The sequence below is a fragment of the Homo sapiens genome, chromosome 12, assembly GCF_000001405.40.
Source record: "Homo sapiens chromosome 12, GRCh38.p14 Primary Assembly".
Lineage (NCBI taxonomy): Eukaryota > Metazoa > Chordata > Mammalia > Primates > Hominidae > Homo > Homo sapiens.
Window position 1 is genome coordinate 103274926 of NC_000012.12, and position 24271 is coordinate 103299196.

The 24271-nt window shown below is 37.3% G+C and overlaps 1 protein-coding gene across 17 annotated transcripts in view; it reads right to left on the reverse strand.

Annotated features, from left to right (window-relative positions):
* Positions 1-24271, reverse strand: part of C12orf42 (chromosome 12 open reading frame 42) — a 516167-nt gene that overhangs the window by 227302 nt on the left and 264594 nt on the right. For 11 of the 17 annotated variants that reach the window (NR_170336.1, NR_170332.1, NR_170337.1 and 8 more), the window contains one exon: positions 2225-2285. Coding sequence is in view for 7 of the 17 variants with exons in the window: in NM_001386867.1 (NP_001373796.1) it covers positions 2225-2285 (61 nt within the window). In the remaining 10 variants the exon portion in view is untranslated. Of the gene's footprint in view, positions 1-1777; positions 1938-2224; positions 2286-24271 lie in introns of those variants that run through there. The other 6 variants (XR_001748690.2, XM_047428807.1, XM_017019281.2 and 3 more) reach the window with 2 other exon arrangements.

A 24271-nucleotide genomic window follows, 5' to 3' on the forward strand; every position in this document is an offset into this window, starting at 1 on the left:
ATATCTTCACTGCTTGGTTCTATCCACATTTGGCAATTTTAAAGTTTCATTCATGAGAAAAGAGATGACCTTTGGAGAAAAAAAAATCATGACTCTTTTTTTTCCACCAATATTTTATTTACAAGCTTTATAGTAAATGCATTGCCTAAATTCAGTTGAATTTCAATCCTTAAATACTAAATATGTATTTTTATTGATATCTCCTACAACAACCTGAGGTTGATAACTCAAAAAGCAGAACCTTATTTCTATGAGTAAATAATCTTCAAAAGCTTCAGGGATACTGATTTTGCTGAAAAAATCTTACAAAAAGGAAAAATAAAACAGGTTGATAGAATTAGTAAAAAATTGTATACAGATGTTTTTAAAACTATAAAAGAGTATCATGAACAGCCATATACCAATAATTTTGAAACCTATATTAAACACATTAATTTTGGAAAAAATGTAAAAAGCCAATATTGACACAAGAAACAAAAAACTTAAATGCACAAACCTATGAAATACATTGAAATTAAATATATAACATCCTCTCTCTCCCCTCCAAAAACTAGACTAAGATAGTTTTATGCCGAACTTCAAAGGAACAAGTAATCCTGACCTTAGATAAATTGCTCTATAACACAGAGAAATAAGAAAAGCAGCCCAATTCCTTTTATGAGGCTATAATTTTGTAACAAAAATTAAGGAAGGGCATATAAATAGAGAAAACTTATAGGCCAATTTCATTTAATAAAATAAGTGTAAAATCCCAAATACAATACTATCTTGCAGAATTCAATGGAATATTGATCAAGTATTATGATCAAGTAGGATTTTTTTTTTTTTTTTTTACTCAGGAAAACAAGACAGACAAACTTTTTTTTTAAAATCCATTTCATTGGCTGGGCACAGTGGGTCACACCTGTAATCCCAGTGACTTGGGAGGTTGAGACCAGAGTTTGAGACCAGCCTGGGCAAAATAGGGAGACATTGTCTCTACTAACAATAAAAATAAATTAGCTGGACATGGTGGCATGCTCCTGTAATCCCTACTACTCAGGAGGCTGAGGTGAAAGGATCTCTTGAGCCCAGGAGTTCAAGGTTACAGTGAGCTATGATCATGCCTCCGCACTCCAGCCTGGGTGACAGGGCAAGATTCTGTCTCTAGAAAACAAAATTCCATTTAATTCATGTTAATGTACTAAAAAAGAAAAATTGCATAGTCACCTTAGTAGACATATAGGGGGAAAAACTTTTAATAAATTTTAATGTCAAGGTAATATGTTTAAAAAGTTAAAACTGCAAATAATAGTTCTGTAACATGTTAATAAGCTATCTACCAAAAACCTACAGCAAGCATTATACTTAATGAAAAAACTTTTCACTCATTTTCTTTAAGGATGGAAACAAAGTTGATGACTCCCATAATTATTATTCTTCCTAGTGTTTGCAGAAGATTCTAATGTTAATCCTTGATAATTACTTACCACCCTCTGCACTAGGCCCAGCTCTAGAGACCTCTTCCCTGGTACTCTCCCCATTGCAAGAGTGAACTTCCCATCCCATTGTTCGCAAGTGTGACCATCCCATGTCCAAGGAGGAGCATTAACAATTACCCTGTGGTTCTGCCATTGTGCTTTTTCCTCTGCCATAAGAAGGCGAGGTATCAGCTAGGGGTTGCTTCTTCCATCTGGATCCCAAAGAAAGGAGACAGAGCTGCTGTCAACCACAACCAATGGGGTAAGTAAAGGTGACCAAAAAATAGATCAATCTTTGATCTTGTAAACCTCTGAGATTTGGGAGTGATGTGATTTATTATCATAACGTAATGAAAGCTGACCAATATAGTACACTGTAGGTTAGGATGGCTGTTATTCAGTCTATTTGTGCAATTGATGAACAGGATAGGAGTTTTCATAGTTGTTTTTGATTTAGCCCTCCTCATCATCCTCCTTCTAGAATTGATAACATGTGATAATTAATGTTACTTTTAGGTCAATTTGGTGATGATACTTGAAGTAGAGTTGAGATTAGTGCTAGTTTTTGAAATATTTTTAAAAATTAGAGAAGGGATTGAAAGAGAAATAAAATTTTTACAATTAGATAGTATAATTATTTACAATAAAAACACAGGAAATTTTTTAAAGTGCTATTACTAATCAAGTTTGGGAAGATTGCTGGATACAAAATCAAACAAAATTCAACAACTTACGCTAGCAAAATCATACCAAACGATACTCACTCTTCAAGGTGAAGAACCATAGCTCCCTGTAATTTCTGTGTGGCCTGTCCATGGTGACTTCCTTTCAAAAAGTACCATATGGAAAGGGGGATAGAAAGAATAACTGTATATTAATTCAAAAATTATAATAAACTTATTAATTTATAACACAAATAATACTATTTAATGAAAAGTAACTATATTTTCCAAAAAAATTAAACAGAAGGATGGCATTATGTTACATTTCTGCAAATCTCTAATGTTTGGTTAAACTATCGTATCTGCTTCTGCATTATGGTTCATTTAGCTTCTGGAAAATGAGAATGAAAAGGTAAATAATTTCTTAATGTAAATATGAAAAGTATTTTGATCTTACAGACTCCTCAGAAGGGTATCAGAGATCTCTGGTAGTTTCTGGATTACACTTGAGAACCACTGATATATAATAAAAATTCATCTGACCTTGATGGGCACAATTTTCTTTTTCTTTTTCTTTTTCTTTTTTTTTTTGAGATGGAGTCTCGCTTTGTCACCCAGGCTGGAGTGCAGTGGTGTGATCCTGGCTCACCCAAGCTCCACCTCCCGGGTTCACGCCATTCTCCTGCCTCAACCTCCTCAGCAGCTGGGACCACAGGCACCCGCCAAAACGCCCGGCTAATTTTTTGTATTTTTAGTAGAGATGGGGTTTCACTGTGCTAGCCAGGACGATCTCAATCTCCTGGCCTCGTGATCCACCTGCCTTGGCCTCCCAAAGTGCTGGGATTACAGGTGTGAGCCACTGCACCCGATGAGCACAATTTTTTAATTCTATTAAGAGATACAGAAAATATCTAAATAAGTTGAAGAATAAATCACATTCATGGATAGAATATTGAAAGATTTTTAAAAGTAAATTTCTTTCTGAAAATTGCTCAATATATTAAAAAAAGGAATTGCACCCAGAATTTCATCAAGATATTTATTGAGAACAAAAAGTGGATGGTAGGGAAGGAACTTAACAAACTGATTCAAAAATGAAAACCTTAGAAAAAGGGTACTCAAATAACAAATATGGTGTGGGAGCAACAATGGGGGGGCTATGTCTACCAGATGTTAAGGGTTTTTTTAAAACCACCTTAGCCATGTGGATTTTCTGTGAAAATGAAACTAGCTCATTTCAAAAGATGCTTTTAGAAATCATTTTTTCCTCCACTGAACCAAAATACACTTTAAAAATCATCTCTGTTTTTTCTCCACTAAGACAGAAAAAAGAGCAAAAACAAAAAAAGCCCAAGAGTGTAATATTGCAAACTGAGCATTCAGTGATTTGTAGAGCTGGGGTCTGCCCAGTCATATGGAAAGGAGATGCTGGGAGCAGTAGAAGGGGCTGTGTTGAGGAGAGCTGTTGGGATAAAATGGGGACACCTCATCTCCACTCCTGCACTGGGCTGTGGCTGGGCACGTGGCACCTGCCAGTCAGCACAGGTGAGCTGGGTGAGTGGTCTCATCACCCCTTGGTATGTGCTGACGTGAAACAGCAGGCAGGAGAGATGAACAAGACAGGCTCTTCTTCCATTGCTCATGTATTAATAGCAACGTGGACATTTCACTGGGGCTCTAAGTGGGGAAACTCACTCAGTATTTTTGGCCTGTTCCTTCCAAAGAATCTAATAGCGATTCCTCCAAAATAAATCCAATGGCTTCTCTCAGTACTACCACTGTAAGTGCACCTGACAGCCAAGTTTTGATAAATGGGCATGTAGAAACTCCACATTTTCCCCTCCTGAATGTTCCTGTCAGCCATTATTCTCCTCCCTGCATCTGAGTTTGACTGCTTTAGATACCTTATGTAAGTGGGAGGCAGTATTTGTCCTTCTGTGCCTGGCTTATTTCACTTAACATAATCTCCTCTGGGCTCATCTGCATTGTTGCCTAAGGCAGGATTTCCTTCTCTTTTAAGGCTGAATAATATTCCATCATCAGTAGGTATAAAGTTTTGATGATGCAAGATAAAATAAGATCCAGAGATCTGCTGTACCACATCATGCCTATAGTTCACAATACTTTATTATATGCTTAAAATGCTCTTAAGAAGGTAGATCTCAAGTTAAGTGTTCTTACTGCCCCCCACCACCACACACCAAATGGGCAGGAGGAAACTTGGAGGTGATGGATGTTTATTACACTGATTGTGGTAATGGTTCCTCAGATGTATGCATGTATTCAAACCCATCAAAATGCATACATTAAATATATGCAGGGTTTTTATTATATCTCAATAAAGCTGTTAAATATATATGTGTATATGTATTTATATACTTATTGATGTATATATTTTGTTGTTTTATATAAAATAGATATAGAAATAAAAGCAAAAATATAGGCAATGTTTGGAAGCTACAGCTGGCAGAAAGAGAAATTGCTAACAAAATTGGTTCCCCCAGGAACTCACCTTCCACACATGCTAGTTCACTGTTCCTGTCAGAAATCACTGATAGAGAAAAACCAGTGTCATGAGAGAGCAGGAAATGAGATGTCAACATAATGACTAGGTGTGTGGTTGAAAATGACTAGGTGTGTGGTTGAAGATGAATTTACTCTTCCTGAAACGCTAGCTTGAAATGTTAAAGCTGATGCCTCTTATGGGTTTGAATACAGGCAGGAGAAAGAGTCCAGCTTTCTCTCTCTCGTGTTGAAAGATGGGACACCATGGCATGGAGACAGCAGGTAACCCAGACATAAGTTGTAATTATTGGAGAACAGGTTTTCTGCTTTCATGGTGCTCTGTTTAGGCTAATAACATGGGAACTAAGACTGGAAGTGAAAGCGTATGACAGGGTAAGTATAAAATATCCATTTGTTGATCAGGAAACATTTATTGATGCCCAACTGTTTACTGAACACTGATAGAGGCATTAGGAATTTAACAACATCAACAATAATAATATTAATAATTAACATTGAATATGTACAATGTCCCAGATACTCTTTTGAGCCCTTGACAAATATGACCTCACTTCATTCTTACAATAACCTAAGAAGTGGATACTGATATTACCCACATTTTGTAGGCAAGGAACCAGAGGCTTTACAGATTAGGTGATTTGCTGTGGGTCATATAGATTGTAGTAGTGGAGCAGGGATTCACATGTAATCCAGTGGCAGGGTCTGTGCTGTGAGCAACAACAACAGAAAAGAGATATATTTCATTTTTCAAATCTTGAGTGGGGCCGGGTGCGGTGGTTCATGCCTGTAATCTCAGCACTTTGGGAGGCCGAGGCAGGCAGATCATTTGAGGTCAGGAGTTCAAGACCAGCCTGGCCAACATGGCGAAACCCCATCTCTACTAAAAATACAAAAAGTTAGCCAGGCATGGTAGCATGCACCTGTAATCTCAGCTACTCGGGAGGTTGAGGCAGGAGAATGACTTCAGCTGGGGAGGCAGAGGCTGTAGAGAGCTGAGACTGCACCACTGCACTCCAACCTGGGTGACAGAGTGAGACTCCATCTCCACACAAAAAAAATCTTGAATGGTAGGGGAGACAGAAACAAGTAAAGGATAAAATACAATAAATAAATAATACTAGTTATGAAAGCTATTTGTTATTGAGTGTTTTGCTCTGAGCAGCCAGCACGGTGCTAAGAACTTTACCAAGGTTTTCCCACTTAGTCCACCACACGAACCTATGGATTAGAGTTGTTCTCTTCAGCTCATGGAGTGAGAACTGACACCAAGGGAAGAGAAAGTGACTTGCAGATCACCCAGCCACTGAGAGGAAAATGTGGACTTCCAACACTAAAATCTTTATCTCCAAAGTCCAAATGCTGAACTATCTTCTACATGGAAAGGCCACTAACCCAACCTTGCTGGAGGGTGAGAGGGAGGTAGATTAGGAAGACTTCCTGGAAGAAGTGGCATCTAAACTGACAGTTGAAGTTTACATAGAAATAAAATGCTAATACTTCATACTTGAGTTGACTGTATGATTTTCTAACCAAGTAATCAGTTACTAAGATGATGTCTATTTGAAAGAGTAATTCTACATTTACGAGATTCTTTACACAGAATTGCAAGAATCTTACTATTTGGGAAGAGAATTGAGATTATCTCTAAGTCTGAGAGAGGTAAAACGAAGATTCCAAGTGACTTTTCACCTAACCCACCCTTGTACTCCTTGTCTTTCTATATAAAATGAATAAGCATAAACATGGGAATTATAATTTTTCTTCTATGCTACTTTTGTATCATCCTGACGTGTTTGTTGTTCTCTTTGAGATGGAGTCTCACTCTGTCACCCAGGCTGGAGTGCAGTGGCGTGGTCTCGGCTCACTGCCAGCTCCACCTCCTGGGTTCATGCCATTCTCCTGCCTCAGCCTCCCAAGTAGCTACAGGCGCCCACCACCATGCCTGGCTAATTTTTTGTATTTTTAGTAGAGACGGGGTTTCACCATGTTAGCCAGGATGGTCTTGATCTCCTGACCTCGTGATCTGCCCGGCTCAGCCTCCCAAAGTGCTGGGATTAGAGGCGTGAGCCACCGTGCCTGGTCTTTTAATACATATTTTTTAAGTGAGGGTCTCACTCTGTAGCCCAGGTTGGAGTGCAGTGGTGCAGTCATAGCTCACTGCAACTGCAAACTCCTGAGTACAATTGATCCTCCCATCTCAGCCTCCCAAGTCACTGGAATTACATGTGTGAGCCATTGTTTCCTGCTAGTGTGAAAAAAAAGCACACAACTAACTCAACTAGACTATGGAGAGAGAGAGAAAAGAGAAAGAAAGAAAAAGAAAGAAAGAAAAGAAGAAAGAAAAAGAAAGAAAGAAAGAAAGAAAGAAAGAAAGAAAGAAAGAAAGAAAGAGATCGATCCTAAAATTTCTTGATATTTCTTGAATTCTTAGATTTAGCCATGCCTCAATTATCTCCGTATTCTCGAGTTATATGAACCAATAACCTTTCTTCTTTAGTTATGTTTATTAGAATTGCACTTCTGGTCATTTAAAATCAAGAGTCCTAAATGATGTAACGACTATTAAGGAGTCTCTGATTCTATAAGGTAATCAAGTTAAATTGGTGCCTGCATTAAACATTAACTTCAAAGAAAATCCTCAAATAAGAATAAATCTAAATAATAGAACAAATACATAAAGACCTTGTTGTCTTAAAAAGCAAGATGAGAGAGGAAGTGAAATGGGAGAAATGCCAAGAATATAGTCATGTGCTGCATAACAATATTTTGGTCAAAGACAGACTGCTTATATGATGAAGGTCCTCTAAGATTATAATGCTGTATTTTTACTGTGCCTTTTCTATGTTTAGATATGTTTAGATACAATACTTACCGTTGTGTTGTAATTGCCTACAGTATTAAGTTCAGTAAAATGCTGTACAGGTTTGTAAGCCAGGAGCAATAGGATATATCATATAGCCTAGCCTAGGTGTGTAGAAGGCTATACCATCTAGGTTTGTGTTAGTACGCTCTGATGTTCACACGATAACAAAATTACCTAATGATGCATTTATCAGAACAGATCCCCATGATTAAGCAATACATGGCTATATGCTGTTATTATGGTGATTTGTACAATGGAAAAAAGCGATGAGGACTCTAATTAAAGTACGTAAAGCAGAAGGTCAGCTTTAATTTGTCTTTAAGGTCAACACCTGCTACTGCAATGTAATGTGAGTGGCATTCTTGAGTCCTCTGTCCCAATTTTTGGTATTTTCCCATGAAAGAGTCACTTTGAGTTTTGAAAACCTTCGAATTTTTCAAGATTCATTTATCAAGAGACAAGAACTACCCAAGGTCTGGAGGATGGTAGCACCTCAACACAGCATTTTTCAAATTATTCCATAGAAACTACTGTCAGAGGCAAATGACACATGCACACACACACAAAGGGAAACCAGGAGGTTCAGCCTAACAGATCCTGGCCCAAACAGAAAATGTCTTTGAGGTCTTCTGTTTTATCTTTAAATGTCAAATGAATGTTTCATTCTATTTCATATTCTATTTTTTCATATAAAACAATTTTTAAATTGCCATCTGGAATTGTAAAAGCTCCCTAGCATTTTATCCTGTGCCTTTGCATGTCATCAGTATACCACGTAGGCATGGAGTAAGGTGCTGCCAGAGAACACCAAAGTCAGTGAATGGTATCTGTGAATCCATTTGTCCATTTCTACAATCACTGTCTTGGTCCAAGTTGCCATTATCACTTCTCTGGACCACAGTGCATGGCCTGTAGGCTGACTGCTTGTTTCTGCTTTAATCTACATTCTGCTCTGTGTTCAGAGCCCATCCCACTGCTTAAAACCTTTTAGTGACTCTCCATTGCTATTAGAAGAAAATAAAAATCCTTAACAAGGTGTCAAGGCACTTGGGGTCTGGCCTCCACTAACTCATCCACCTCACCTCTGATCACAGTCCCTTCACTCCTTGTGTTCCAGACACACTAGCCTCCAGCATGCCAGCTCATTTTCCTCTCCAGAGTCTTGGACCAGCCAGCGCTCACATCTGAAATACTCTTCCACTTCCCATTTCCTTCCTTTGGGGCCTCTGACTAAGTCATTTTCTCCTATTATGCTTTCTGACAGCATCATCTATCTCCCACCCACTGGCACAAAGCTCCTTAAGGAGAAAGGCAATGTCTTTGTGCACCAATTTGTTCCTAGTGCCAAACTCCTTCCATGAAACATAGTAGCTGCTCAATAAATGTTTTGTAAATGATCGAATGGATGAATGAGCTAGGGAATAGCCTGTCTCCTTTCAGGTACAGAACAAGAAAAAATAACTTGAACAATTTTCCGGGCAAATGCAATACATATTTTGTTCAAAGACCACTTTAATTATCACGAGAGGAAAAAATAGCATGAAAGCACTCTGTCAACTTCACTTAAGACACTATTTAGGTACTTCTGGGATGATAAAAAATTTTGAGTGGCAGAATCTTGTCAATAACTTGTGATAGAACTTATCCCAAGTTCTACTACACCTGAGTGTGACACCTGAGTGCTCCTAATTAGGGCTGTCTCGGAGAACATTACATAAGACGGCAAGGGCTTCTTTTATTTCTGAAATTTTAAACCTGCTATAGATATAAATATCTGGAGTTCTTATTTTTAGTACATTGTTTATATTTGGAAGCACAGAGAAAAGAATGTTTTGTTAACAAGTAGCCTCCATTGATGATAATCCTTGTATTGACTTGGGACAAATTGTTGGGGAAAAAAAAGCAGAATGAACTGGAAAAGAAACACAGAGAAACATTCGATAATCATTCCACCAACCTTATAGAGCTCTATTTGTCACTTGGAGACACAAGGATGAGTGACTGACATTGTCTGCCCACAGGTAGCTCTCTGAGCCTGGTAGCAAAGACAAGTCATCATCAGAGAGTCACTAGGGCCTAGCAATACCCAGACCACAAGATAATTATTCTAAGACCAGGAATTTGGGGTGTTGGGAATATTTTACCCAAGGTTATTAAAAGACAAGGTAAGAAGTTTTGTTTATTACAGTATCGCTAATACCAAGAGCAATATTTTGAACATGGTAGGCCTTTGTTACATATTTGTTGAATGAATAAATGAATTCCTATCCAAGACACACTTCAGAGATACCTGGAAGGCGGCTCTATGACAACTCATGGGTTTTCCCACAGAGCCACAATTGACTTTCGTGGGTCCTAAATCCTTTTGCTTTCGTGGGCCCCTACTGAAATGGTATAAAGACTACTATAATATAAGCTGGATTACACTCATTTTTTTTAATTTTAAAAGAAATTAAGACATTTTCATGGAGCCCTGGATAGTATAGTGGCTGCTAGGCTCTGTACCTATTGTGCCTAACACACAAGTGGGGTCTGGATTTCTCACTGTTCCCTAAGCAAATGATTCCCTTATCTAGGATCAATGCTCAAAGCAAGTAGTCCTCATAACAAAGCCCTGGCTTCTGGCTTAAATACACAGCAAAGGCAGAAGAACTCATGAGCTAGAACATCAGTACATATGGAAAAGCCTCCTGGATACTGCTGTTTACCGACTTATGATCTACTTTGGAAGATACTTAGTTGTATAAGGATTGCTCTCTATATCACAGGCAATTAAAGAAGAATCCCAGCTCCTGAAAACCTGAGCTATCAACAAAAATAATCATAATAAGTTATATTCATGAAGATCTACTCTGTGCTAAGCACTAAACTTAAAGCAATTCATATATCACTATTAACCTTCCTAAGGATCCAGCCAGGTAAGAATTATTTCCTCCATTTTAAAGATTTGGAACTTGGATTAGGGCTTAGAGAGATTAAGGATCTAGCCTCTAAGGACTGGAATATACCTCTTTCTAGTTCCAAAGCTCACATTCTTTCCACTATGTCACCTTGCCATTAAATTATAAATATACACAAGTATAATAGAATACAAATAACTGTTTAATGATAAGGAAGAAGCCTTTGATAGAATAATTACAAAAAGGAGAGTTATTTGAAGAAAAAGAATTATCAAAGCAAATTTCAGATCAGACTTCTAACACATCACTGGGAAGGTAATATGATAAATTATTTGAATAATATTGGATGTATAGTCTGATGCCAAATGACAGCAACTCCAAATAGCTGAAAATCAGCTTCGTTGTATATGGTAACACACATCTTCATTGGAGAAGATTGTTTTAGTCCCCCAAAATAATTGACGCAAACATTGAAGTAGATATAAATTTATTCACATAAAACTGAAAATATAACTCTGTGAAAGCAGGGATTTTTGTCTGCGTAATGCTGAATCTTCAGTACTTAAAACAGTGCTAAACAGATAGTAGGTGCTCAATTAATATGTGCTGAAAAAAATAAATGAATGAGGCCGGGCGTGGTGGCTCACGCCTGTAATCCCAGCACTTTGGGGGGGTGCCAAGGCAGGCGGATTGCAAGGTCAGGAGATCGGGACCATTCTTGCTAACACGGTGAAACATCTTTACTAAAAATACAAAAACAAAAAATCAGCTGGGCGTGGTGGCAGGCGCCTGTAGTCCCAGCTACTCCGGAGGCTGAGGCAGGAGAATGGCATGAACCCGGGAGGCGGAGCTTGCAGTGAGCCGAGATTGCACCACTGCACTCCAGCCTGAGTGACAGAGCAAGACTCCATCTCAAAAAATAAATAAATAAATAAATAAATAAATAAATAAATAAATAAAGTAAAAATAAATAAATAAATGAACAGAGTATTTTCACATGAAGAGGTAGCATAGAGTGGAGTTACTAGCACAATTGTTAGAAATAGATGCCCATGTAGTCAGGCCTCAACTTAGCTATTTCTTATTTTAAGACAGTCATGAATTATATTTACACCCACTAAGTCTTTATTTTCATATATAAAATAATATCATAGTAACCGACTCAGACTTAATGTGAGGTATGTATCAACTGCTTAGCAGAGGGCCTAGCACATAGTAAATAATCAGTATACTTTAGCCATTATTATTATCATTATTACTATTATTCTTATTATTACTATTATTTTGCAATAGAGAGGAAAAATGTGTGTGGTGCTTTTTACAATCAAAATATCTCTCAACTTCTGGATATATTTGTCCCTCTTTTACAAGTTTTGACATAAAGATAAAATGAAATGGATCATAGAATATGGAAGCAAATTGGAATAAGTTGATATATCCTAGGAATTAGCAAAAAGAAAGGATGGTCATGAATAATTGAAAGCACTCTAAACAGGAATGTGTTGGGTACGGTAAAGGGAGGTTGGTAAAGCTGGGAAAAGAGTAGAATCATACAACATCATATCTGCACTCCAGCCTGGGCGACAGAGCGAGACTCCGTCTCAAAAAAAAAAAAAATGCTCATCATCACTGGCCATCAGAGAAATGCAAATCAAAACCACAATGAGATACCATCTCACACCAGTTAGAATGGCGATCATTAAAAAGTCAGGAAACAACAGGTGCTGGAGAGGATGTGGAGAAATAGGAACACTTTTACACTGTTGGTGGTACTGTAAACTAGTTCAACCATTGTGGAAGTCGGTGTGGCGATTCCTCTGGGATCTGGAACTAGAAGTACCATTTGACCCAGCCATCCCATTACTGGGTATATACCCAAAGGATTATAAATCATGCTGCTATAAAGACACATGCACATGTATGTTTACTGCAGCACTATTCACAATAGCAAAGACTTGGAACCAACCCAAATGTCCAACAATGATAGACTGGATTAAGAAAATGTGGCACATAGACGCCATGGAATACTATGCAACCATAAAAAATGATGAGTTCATGTCCTTTGTAGGGACATGGATGAAGCTGGAAACCATCATTCTCAGCAAACTATCACAAGGACAAAAAAACCAAACACCGCATGTTCTCACTCATAGGTGGGAATTGAACAATGAGAACACATGGACACAGGAAGGGGAACATCACACACCAGGGACTGTTGTGGGGTGGGGAGAGGGGGAAGGGATAGCATTAGGTGATATACCTAATGCTAAATGACGAGTTAATGAGTGCAGCACACCAACATGGCACATGTATACATATATAACAAAACTGCACGTTGTGCACATGTACCCTAAAACTTAAAGTATAATAATAAAAAAAAAAAACAAAAAAAAGTGTTCATAACAGCTATCCCATTACAAAAATCAGAAATTCTAAACCTACGCACACAAACACACACACAGAGAGAGAAAGAGAGAGAGAGAGACAGAGAGAGAAAGTTTGAGACCAACTTGTCACTGGAGTGAAAGTTTTGTTACATTGCTTCTTCTGAAAGCCCGGAGCTGGAGCAAAGAGGAAGGAAGCCTGAATGATGTCCCTGCTTTCTAATGGCCACTTGCCTCCCTATTTCAATGCTGTAAATGACCATCAAGCCTTCTGCTCCCTGATGACCAAACAGCGAAAATAATTTCTTTGAGAAGACTTTGTTCAACCTAATTTGTGAGTAAAATCTTCTAAGGGCAGCAGTGAAAGGCCCAAGATAATGAGGAAGTTTTCAAACTCGGGGAACTGATGAGATATTCTCCCAAATTTACCATACACCATTAATCAATTGTTACTAGGCAGAATCACAGAACCCAGATAGAGGTCAATTGATCACATGACCCACAGCACTCCGAACTCCTGGTGTCCTGCTGCTTAAACTAAAGCATTAGGGATTTTGTAACTTAGCAGAAGTTAAAATCTCAGTTGATTTTTCATAACGAGAATTCAGTGCAAATTGTGTAGAGTCTGAGTAAAACAAACAAAATCTAGGAGGTGTTGGTAAAGGAGGGTTAGGACTCACCAAAGAAATGGGATAAATTGATCATAGAGTTTACAAGAAAGAACCAAGTTAGAAATAAAAATTACGTTTAGCACCTTACCTCGTTTAATGCGTCCTTGTTTGAAAACTGCAAGCACTTTTACCTGTCACTTTTAATAAACATTTAAATATAATTTCACCCTTTTTAAATCCAAAACACAGATGTTATATTCCATCATTTTCCACAGAGCACAATATTTTTATTTTTTCAGATGCTCTGTAAACCACATGCCACTATGTTAGACGTGTAAAAGATTTTGCCCTTCATTCATGTCCCCCTGATACTGCTTACATGGTAAGATGCTTTATTTATAAATCAAAGTGTCTTCAGAAGGTTCTGAATGATGGATAAACATCTCAAAATCTCCTATAACTATTTTTTATTAGCAAAAAACACAAATCCTGAACTCCCTATTTATTAGTTCATTCTTTGCCAGATTCTAGAAATTTTTAGTACTAAAGAATAATATAAACTTGAACAAAAAAAGTAAAATCACTCATTGCAAGGAGCAGGGCTATTTTTAATTTCTCTTATAAACAATTTCCTCATATCTTGGTTCGGTCTGTTGTTTTTAGACATAATTGGAACAAGGTGTTAGGCAACAATCACATTTAATAGAAATACATAAAAGATCACTTGGAAAAACAAACTGAGCAGTGTTAAGGTTCTATTATCTTATTGCTTTAGATATAGAACAGGTAGTACTAATATATTACATATTTGGAAGCCCCAGTCTTAATGCCTGAAGAGAAGTCCTCTAATTTGTCAGATAAAAATTCTCCCACATTTATACCAAAGCAGAAAAATCTGTGTAGATCTAATTCATCATGACAAAACAAAGGGGCAAAATCATGTTATTTGGGATCTCTGATGTCCATTTTTGTTTTGGACCAAATATTTTCTAACTAATATTATCATTTTTTAAGTTCTGTGAGTCAAAGAGCATACCAGACAAAATACTTAGGAATATTTTTGGACAGAAAAGATACCAAAAGTTAAATCTTGCATGCATTTTACAATTTTACTTTTAGGAATTCACATTATAAAAATAATTAGAGGAGCAGATAACAATTATACATAAAATATATTCATGAAATATTTTTCCTATAGTGAAAATATTCATAAAAATTTTTCCTATAGTGAAATTTGCAAATAATTAAAATGTTCCAAAATAGCAAATTGGCTAATTAAATTATACTACAATGATGCAATAAAAGATTCTATAGGTGTTTAAAATGCTAATGTAGATCACCGTTTGTTGATATTGCAAAGATGTCAACAGTTCATTGTGATGGGGGGAAAAAACAGCTTATGGAACAATGTGTGTAGTAAGAGCTCATTCTTGAACAAATAGTTCTATATGTGAATATGCTAAGAAAAATGTATGAAAGGATATGCTCCAAAATGTAAATAGTGGTTGTCATTGGGTTATTAAGCTATAGATAATTTCTGCTTTTTCTTAATGCCTTTTGGTAACTTCTTTTTTTCTCTTTCATTTTGTAAACAATGAGAAAACTATGCAAAAAGTGATTTTCATTTTGAGGGGGAAAAGGGGAAGGAAGGGTAAGGGAAAGCTTCCTGCACTAATGCCTGCCTCCCCATCTGGGTTAGTGACATGCATGCAGAGGGTCTAAAGAGAGAAGTGGAAGGAAAGCAAGAAGTACGGCTTCACCACACTAAATGAAAAGCAAACAATATGCATATCAGCATCCTAAGATGTACCACTCTGCTGGGAAAACCCAAGACAAAAGAATTATCAGACACAACAGTTCAAAGCATATTGCACCTGTCAAAACGTCTGTCATCTTCTATAGAAATGCACCATTCTAAGAGAGAAAAGGGAAACTTTAGCAAAGTCACTCAGGAACAACAGCTTACTTTGTCTCCTTCCTCTAGCCAACTCCTCCATCTGAAAGCCATTGAGCTCCATGCTAAAGATTGCCTGGAAGGACCAGACAATAGGAAGGTCTCTTTCATTGTCAAGGACAGTTAGACTTTGAAGATGACACTCAAAAGAGGTTAAAATGGGTCAACAGGCAATTGTTGGGCCTATGCAAGGACATGTGAAGAGAACATTGTTAAAGTCAAACACATAAAAAATCTTGATCTCAAAGAATTCAGCTTTAACCTAGAGGAGGTGTGGGAAGGAAGGAACTAACACACAATACTGATTTCTGATTTCATCCCAAAGAATTAAGTGGGGAGGGGACTTACCCCAAGAGGATTAATTAATGGACAGTTTGGGGATGGTCTTTGCCATTCTAACATCTGCCCACACATTATAGAAAGGTAAGTGCAATTTAGGGCTAAGTAAGAAAATGTGGTTTAAACAGAAAAAAGTGGTGTTAATTCCATGCACGCTATACATTTTTAAGAATTCTATTTTCTGGATGCACTTTAGAAAACGTGTAGAATGGACATACAAAGTGGAATAATGAATGCTAGAGACTCTAAAGGGTGGAAGGGTGGGAGGGGGGTGAGGGATGAAATACTATCTATTGAGTTCAATGTACACTACTCGGGTGATGGATGTGCTAAAAGCCCAATCTTCACCACTATGCTATACATGCATGTAACACAACTACACTTGTACCCCTAAATTTATAAAATATTTTTTTAAAAAAGAAAATATAGTATTTAGTCAGATGATTGGTAAATGGTTAGAGGTGGTTGGGTATATTTAAACAGCAAACTTTTGTGCAATTTCTTAGATATCCTAACTAAAGAAAACTTAGAAGTCCATCTGAGAAATTCTGATACAGAGAAAAGGCGTATGGCAAATTCTGGTCAGCCTGCCTAGGCTTACAGTCCAGCTCTGCCTTGAACAGACTGTGTGACTTTGGACAAGTAACCTCTTTATTCTGAGTTTCCTGTTGTGTAGAAGAGGATAACAATACACCATAGAAGTATTGGGAAAATTAAAGGAGATACCAATGCGGGGGAATCCCAAAATTGGGCCTCAGCCCACAGCAGTTGTTGGCTTCATGCAGCAAAGAATTCAAGAACAAGCTGACAGAGTAGCGAAAGCAAAGCAAGTTTATTAGAGCAACAGAGCACAGGAAAATGACTGCTCCACAGACAGAGCAGGGCTACCCCATAGGCAGAGTAGCACTCACAGATAGCTGACTAGCTATACTTAATAGCTACTTCTTAATCACGTGCTAAATAAGGGGTGAATTATTCACAGATTTTCTAGAAAAGGAGTGGGGAGTTCCCAGACTTGAGGGTTCCTCCCCTTTTAAACCATATAAGGTAACTTCTGGGCATCTCCATGACATTTGTAAACTGTCATGGCACCAGTGGAAGTGTCTTTTACCATTTTACCATATTGTAATTAGCGTATAATGAGCAGTGAGAGCAACTAGAGGTTACCATCTTGGTTTTAGCTGGTTTTGGCCTATTTCTTTACTGCATCCTGCTTTAACCAGATCTTGTTTTGATCAATGGGGTCATGACTGGTGCTTGGAAAACAAGTCCTGCTCATCTCCTACCACAGCACTGCATGCAAGAGAAAGCAAAACATATGTACACACAAAAACTGGTACATGAGTGTTGATAGCAGCATTATTCATAATAGTCAAAAGGTGGACACAGCCCCAATGTCCATTAACCAATCAATGGATAAACAAAATGTGGTATGTCCATACAGTAGAATATTATTTGGCCATTAAAAAGAAGGAAGCACTGGCATGCAATATGATATGGATGAACCTTAAAAAGTCATGCTAAGTGAAAGAAGCCAGTCACAAAAGACACATATTATATGATTTCATTCATATTAAATGTCCAGAATAGTGGACATCTATAGAGACAAAGTAGAATAGTGGTTGCTTGGGGCTGGGTGTTGCAGAGGAAAGCAGGGTATCAGCTAAAGGGTACAGGGTTTCTATTCAAATTCACATACCTGTGAATATATGAAAAACTCATGAATTGTACACTTAAGATGGGTGAATTATATGATATATAAATATGTCTCAATAAAGCTGTCAAAATAAATAAATAATTAAAAGTAACCAAGCAAGAATAATAATCAAATCTTTGTGGCTTAAAAACAAAAAAGAAGACCAAAAAGAAAGAAAGGAGGAAGGAAGCAGGGGTTCCACAATAAGGGAACCAGAATAGTGTCTAACATACAGTAAGGATGCAATCAACACTATCAGTATTACTTAGTTACTTTTATTGATTCTTAACACCACTTGGTGATGTTACTATTCTTTTTGAGTAAATATGAATTATTATGTATAGCTTTGAAAATGCTTTAGAAAAGAGTATTGCTAGGTATACTGACTAATAATAAGACTGAAATCTCCATTTCAATTTTAAAGTATTCATCTTTAAATATATTTTGAAATTCATGCATATATTCTGAAATCTAAAGAAAATATATCCCTAAATAGTCTATTAAAAAGGTAAACTTCAAAATGAAATGCAGCTTTTTCTCTTCTTTAAAGAGTTTTCCATTTAACTACATTAAAATAATTATGATTGACAAATATTTAAATGTTAGCAATTGACTAGCTATAGAGTCAAACATGAGAAAACTAGAAAAGGCCACTCACTCTGAAAAACACCATAGAATTCATTGAAGTGAATTCAATGAAAAATTGATTCATTCTTTAAAATCTCTTTAGGCTGTTTTCCAAAAGCCACACATACTATGCCAAAAATTTTTAAAGAGATGCCTTTTTTGACTATCAATTTCCAAAATCTCAAACAATTCAAAAAGAAAATAAATAAGATTAATTCCCTTCCCTTTCAGGAACCCATCTCTGGTCTCCTCTTTCTCTCCTCCATGAATCAACATATATCTGCAGGTATATTTCACTTTATAAGGTAAATCCCCATGTCTTTTGCCTTACTCAGAGATGGATTTATTAAAAAACAAATAAAATGAGCTGAAGGGTCCTTTGTTTGTAAGGACCGTTTCCTCTACCTAACTATGTTTATAATGTTGTATTCTATTCCTGAAAGAGCTCCCCTCAAAATGTATAAGCTTCAGGTACCACGAAAGTTGATCAGTCCCTGGTTGCTACTTCCATTTTATCCACTATTTTGTCCCTTCAAATCCTCCACACTCCAAAATCAAGTTCAAATTCTTCTACAGGAAGCCTTCAATTATTCCAACCAGAACTGATCTCTCCCTTCTCTAACTTTCTACTGCACTTACTCACTTTAAAACTTCAAAATCCTTTTTTCAAAACCCTCCAGGCTGGTTGAGTTCAGAATTTAGAATTTTTTCTATGTTATGGCTGTAAGCTACATATTATGGAATGGTGCATAAATCACGTGTTGTTTAACACTTTCCATGGGGGTCCAAGGCAGAACTATATCATCAAATATATTACTACGTCTTCATTGAAATACAGGAGTATTCCCCAGAGTGAGAATACTCATGTGTTCAGTTTGGCTCATAATTGACAGAAAAATTAACTTTTAATTTTCAGAGATTTTGGGTCTCACGACTGTGGCTAAAGGATTATCATCAAAGGACCTAAATATCATTGTGTCATTATTTCATGTTTCACTATCTAGGTCTCACTGAATTAAAATGGCTCTTCACTATTCTGTCTCCAGTACAACACATTCAGCACATAGCAGATGTTCAGTAAATATTTTAGAATGAATAAGTGAAAGAACTAAGCCTTGCACTAGGTTGAACTAGTCAAGGAAGAAGACTGTGTCCTTTTTAGTAGACAACCCCAGCACCAAGGCCAGTGCCTTGTACATGGTGCATACAATAACTATTGGTTGAGTTGAATCAAATTTCTCAGATCTCTTGCAGAGTACCTAGGATGGTAAGGACCCAATTAATGCTTCATGATCTCAATATCTGTCAATATCACTGACTTACAAAATTGGATTGATTCCCATAGAGGAGGGAAAACACAGAGCATGGGAGTATGGAAGAAGCAGTAGTGGGAAGCCTAAACATGGCAGAAAAAAAAAAGAAAGAGAAAGAAGAAAGAAGAAAAAGAAAGAAAGAAAGAAAGAAAGAGAGAAAGGAGAGAGAGAAAGAAAGAAAGAAAGAAAGAAAGAAAGAAAGAAAGAAAGAAATAAGCAAGCAAGCAAGAAAGAAAGAAAGAAAGAAAAAGAAAGGAAGAAGAAAGAAAGAAGCAAGCAAGCAAGAAAGAAAGAAAGAAAGAAAAAGAAAGGAAGGAAGGAAGGAAAGAAAGAAAGAAAGAAAGAAAGAAAGAAAGAAAGAAAGAAAGAAAGAAAGAAGGAAAAGAAAGAGAAAGAAAGAAAGAAGGAAAAAACCTTGTGAAAAAGGATGGAAGCAGAGAATTATATTTCACAAAGACCTTGGACTCTGCAAGAGGGACCCCATACACCTTAAGAATTCTGCAGCATTTTTCTTAAGTTCAGGAATACATGTGCAGGCTTGTTACATAGGTAAACTTGTGTCATGGAGGTTTGTTGTACAGATTATGTCATAACCCAGGTATTAGGCATAATAGTACCCATTAGTTATTTTTCCTGATCCTCTCCCTCCTCCCATCCTTCACCCTCCACCCTCCAAAAGGCCCCAGTGTGTGTTGTTTCCCTTCATGTGTCCATGTGTTCTCATAATTTAGCTCCCACTTATGACTGAGAACATGGGATATTTGGTTTTCTGTTCCAGTGTTAGCTTGCTAAGGATAATGGCCTCCAGCTCCATCCATGTTCCTGCAAAGGACATAATCTCATTCTTTTTTATGGCTATGTATTACTCCATAGTAAAGGGTTGGAGCATTCTTCTTGAGGTTGAGTCTTCTCTTGACAACAACCTCTTTCCTGTGTCCCTGTGTGACTACAAATCCTCAACATCACATTTGTAGTTACAAAAACATTACCTCATCCCTTCCCTTGTCTGGGTAGTTTTAGAGTCTTTTATAGAGAGCCGAACTAAAAGATCACATTTGGAGGATACCACATGGCATCGTGTACCCCAATCTGAACTTTTCTAAATTGGAGGTTCTTCATGGAATAGTTTGTAAATTCATCAACTGCATACATTGTTTTTTTTTTTAACATATAACTTGCTTTGAATAAGACATTGTACTGTAATCTTTGCGAGCATGAGTGATGGAGGCAGTCATTGGCCAAATTGTATGTCTCCCTGTGTTTCACTTTCCTCATTGGTAAATGGGATAATACTACTGACCTCACAGTTATGGAATGAAGGTAAAGGATATAGTGTATAAAAACTTCTTAGAGAGGAACATGATGACACAGTCAGCAGAAATTGTGCTCAATGTCAGTGTAAGGAAGTTAGATCTATAACCTCTTATATCAGCCTTGCATAAATAATGATAATATACGTACTAATTATTGCTGATATTAGTCATAAAATAATGATTTGAATTTGGATACCACTCTTACTTTTCAAAATGCTTTCATTTTATAGCAAATTTCGTCCCCAAGTTATCCTTTGCAGTAAAAAAAACATGTAATCCCAATTTTTTTAAATTTTTTTTTAAATTATACTTTAAGTTCTAGGGTACATGTGCACAACGTGCAGGTTTGTTACATATGTATACATGTGCCATGTTGGTGTGCTGCACCCATTAACTCGTCATTTGCATTAGGTATATCTCCCAATGCTATCCCTCCCCACTCCCCCCACCCCACAACAGGCCGCAGTGTGTGATGTTCCGCTTCCTGTGTCCAAGTGTTCTCATTGTTCAATTCCCACCTATGAGCGAGAACAGGCGGTGTTTGGTTTTTTGTCCTTGTGATAGTTTGCTGAGAATGATGGTTTCCAGCTTCATCCATGTCCCTACAAAGGACATGAACTCTTCATTTTTTATGGCTGCATAGTATTCCATAGTGTATATGTGCCACATTTTCTTAATTCAGTCTATCATTGATAGACATTTGGGTTGGTTCCAAGTCTTTGCTATTGTGAATAGTGCCACAATACACACACGTGTGCATGTGTCTTTATAGCAGCATGATTTATAATCCTTTGGGTATATACGCAGTAATGAGATGGCTGGGTCAAATGGTATTTCTAGTTCTAGATCCCTGAGGAATCGCCACAGTCTTCCACAATGGTTGAACTAGCTTACAGTCCCACCAACAGTGTAAAAGCGTTCCTATTTCTCCATATCCTCTCCAGCACCTGTTGTTTCCTGACTTTTTAATGATCGCCATTCTAACTGGTGTGAGATGGTATCTCATTGTGGTTTTGATTTGCATTTCTCTGATGGCCAGTGATGATGAGCATTTTTTCATGTGTCTTTTGGCTGCATAAATGTCTTCTTTTGAGAAGTGTCTCTTCATATCCTTCACTCACTTGTTGATGGGGTTGTTTTTTTCTTGTAAATTTGTTTGAGTTCTTTGTAGATTCTGGATATTAGCCCTTTGTCAGATAAGTAGATTGCAAAAAATTTTATCCCATTCTGTAGGTTGCCTGTTAACTCTGATGGTAGTTTCTTTTGCTGTGCAGAAGCTTTTTAGTTTAATTAGATCCCATTTGTCAATTTTGGCTTTTGTTGCCATTGCTTTTGGTGTTTTAGACATGAAGTCCTTGCCCATGCCTATGTCCTGAATGGAATTGCCTAGGTTTTCTTCTAGGGTTTTTATGGTTTTAGGTCTAACATTTAAGACTTTAATCCATCTTGAATTAATTTTTGTATAAGGTGTAAGGAAGGGATCCAGTTTCAGCTTTCTACATATGGCTAGCCAGTTTTCCCAGCACCATTTGTTAAATAGGGAATCTTTTCCCCATTTCTTGTTTTTGTCAGGTTTGTCAAAGATCAGATGGCTGTAGATGTGTGGTATTATTTCTGAGGGCTCTGTTCTGTTCCATTGGTCTATATCCCTGTTTTGGTACCAGTACCATGCTGTTTTGGTTACTGTAGCCTTGTAGTGTAGTTTGAAGTCAGGTAGCATGATGCCTTCAGCTTTGTTCTTTTGGCCTAGTATTGACTTGGCAATGCGGGCTCTTTTTTGGTTCCATATGAACTTTAAAGTTACATACACCCTTGCAAGACTAAACCAGGAAGAAGTTGAATCTCTGAATAGACCAATAACAGGATCTGAAATTGAGGCAATAATTAATAGCCTACCAACCAAAAAAAAAGTCCAGACCAGATGGATTCACAGCCGAATTCTACCAGAGGTACAAAGAGGAGCTGGTACCATTCCTTCTGAAACTATTCCAATCAATAGAAAAAGAGGGAATCCTCCCTAATTCATTTTATGAGGCCAGCATCATCCTGATACCAAAGCCTGGCAGAGACACAACAAAAAAAGAGAATTTTAGACCAATATCCCTGATGAGCATCGATGCAAAAATCCTCAATAAAATACTGGCAAACCAAATCCAGCAGCACATCAAAAAGCTTATCCACCAAGATCAAGCGGGCTTCATCCCTGGGATGCAAGGCTGGTTCAACATCTGCAAATCAATAAATGTAATCCAGCATATAAACAGAACCAAAGACAAAAACCACATGATTATCTCAATAGATGCAGAAAAGGCCTGTGACAAAATTCAACAACCCTTCATGCTAAAAACTCTCAATAAATTAGATATTGATAGGACATATCTCAAAATAATAAGAGCTATTTATGACAAACCCACAGCCAATATCATACTGAATGGGCAAAAACTGGAAGCATTCCCTTTGAAAACTGGCACAAAACAGGGATGTCCTCTCTCACCACTCCTATTCAACACAGTGTTGGAAGTTCTGGCCAGGGCAATCAGGCAGGAGAAAGAAATAAAGGGTATTCAATTAGGAAAAGAGGAAGTCAAATTGTCCCTGTTTGCAGATGACATGATTGTGTATCTGGAAAACCTCATTGTCTCAGCCCAAAATCTCCTTAAGCTGATAAGCAACTTCAGCAAAGTCTCAGGATACAAAACCAATGTGCAAAAATCACAAGCATTCCTATACACCAATAACAGACAAACAGAGAGCCAAATCATGAGTGAACTCCCATTCGCAATTGCTTCAAAGAGAATAAAATACCTAGGAATCCACCTTACAAGGGATGTGAAGGACCTCTTCAAGGAGAACTACAAACCACTGTTCAACGAAATCAAAGAGGATACAAACAAATGGAAGAACATTCCATGCTCATGGATAGGAAGAATCAATATCGTGAAAATGGCCATACTGCCCAAGGTAATTTATAGATTCAATGCCACCCCCATCAATCTACCAATGACTTTCTTCACAGAATTGGAAAAAACTACCATAATCCCAATTTAACAGCGAAGACACTCTGGCCAAGTGGTAGGAGTGACGCTGAGTTCAGGTCACCTTTATAGGAATGCACCCTTGGCTCTTGAGATCTGGATCAGCTCCAGTACCTTAGCTTTTTCCTTAATCCTCCCTCTACAACATCCCATGTCTTTCACAAGTCTGATTTTGGTCAGTTCCAATAATCTTAAAAGTGCTGCCATCTTTCATAAACCTCAAAACAACCTTTCCTTCCCTTATTTTCTGAGCCTTCAGGGATAATGTTGCTTCAAATAAAAAGAACTATGTCACAATAATCTCTTATGCTTTGTTTGTCAAAGAGTTCAAACATATGCTATGTTGTCAACCCACAATTATCACTTCCAGTTCTCTACTATATAATCAGGAGGTGAGGGGATATAAGTAGAGGCTCTATTCTCACCTCACTTATGTACCAACCGCAGGGTATAAAAACTGATTTATAGTTGTAGGTGGAACACAAATATATTCATATATGCATATATACTAGCTTTCATAATATATTGTATAATACAGCTCTATGTATAAAATAACATATTATACAGTTTTTAAAAAAATATTTGTAT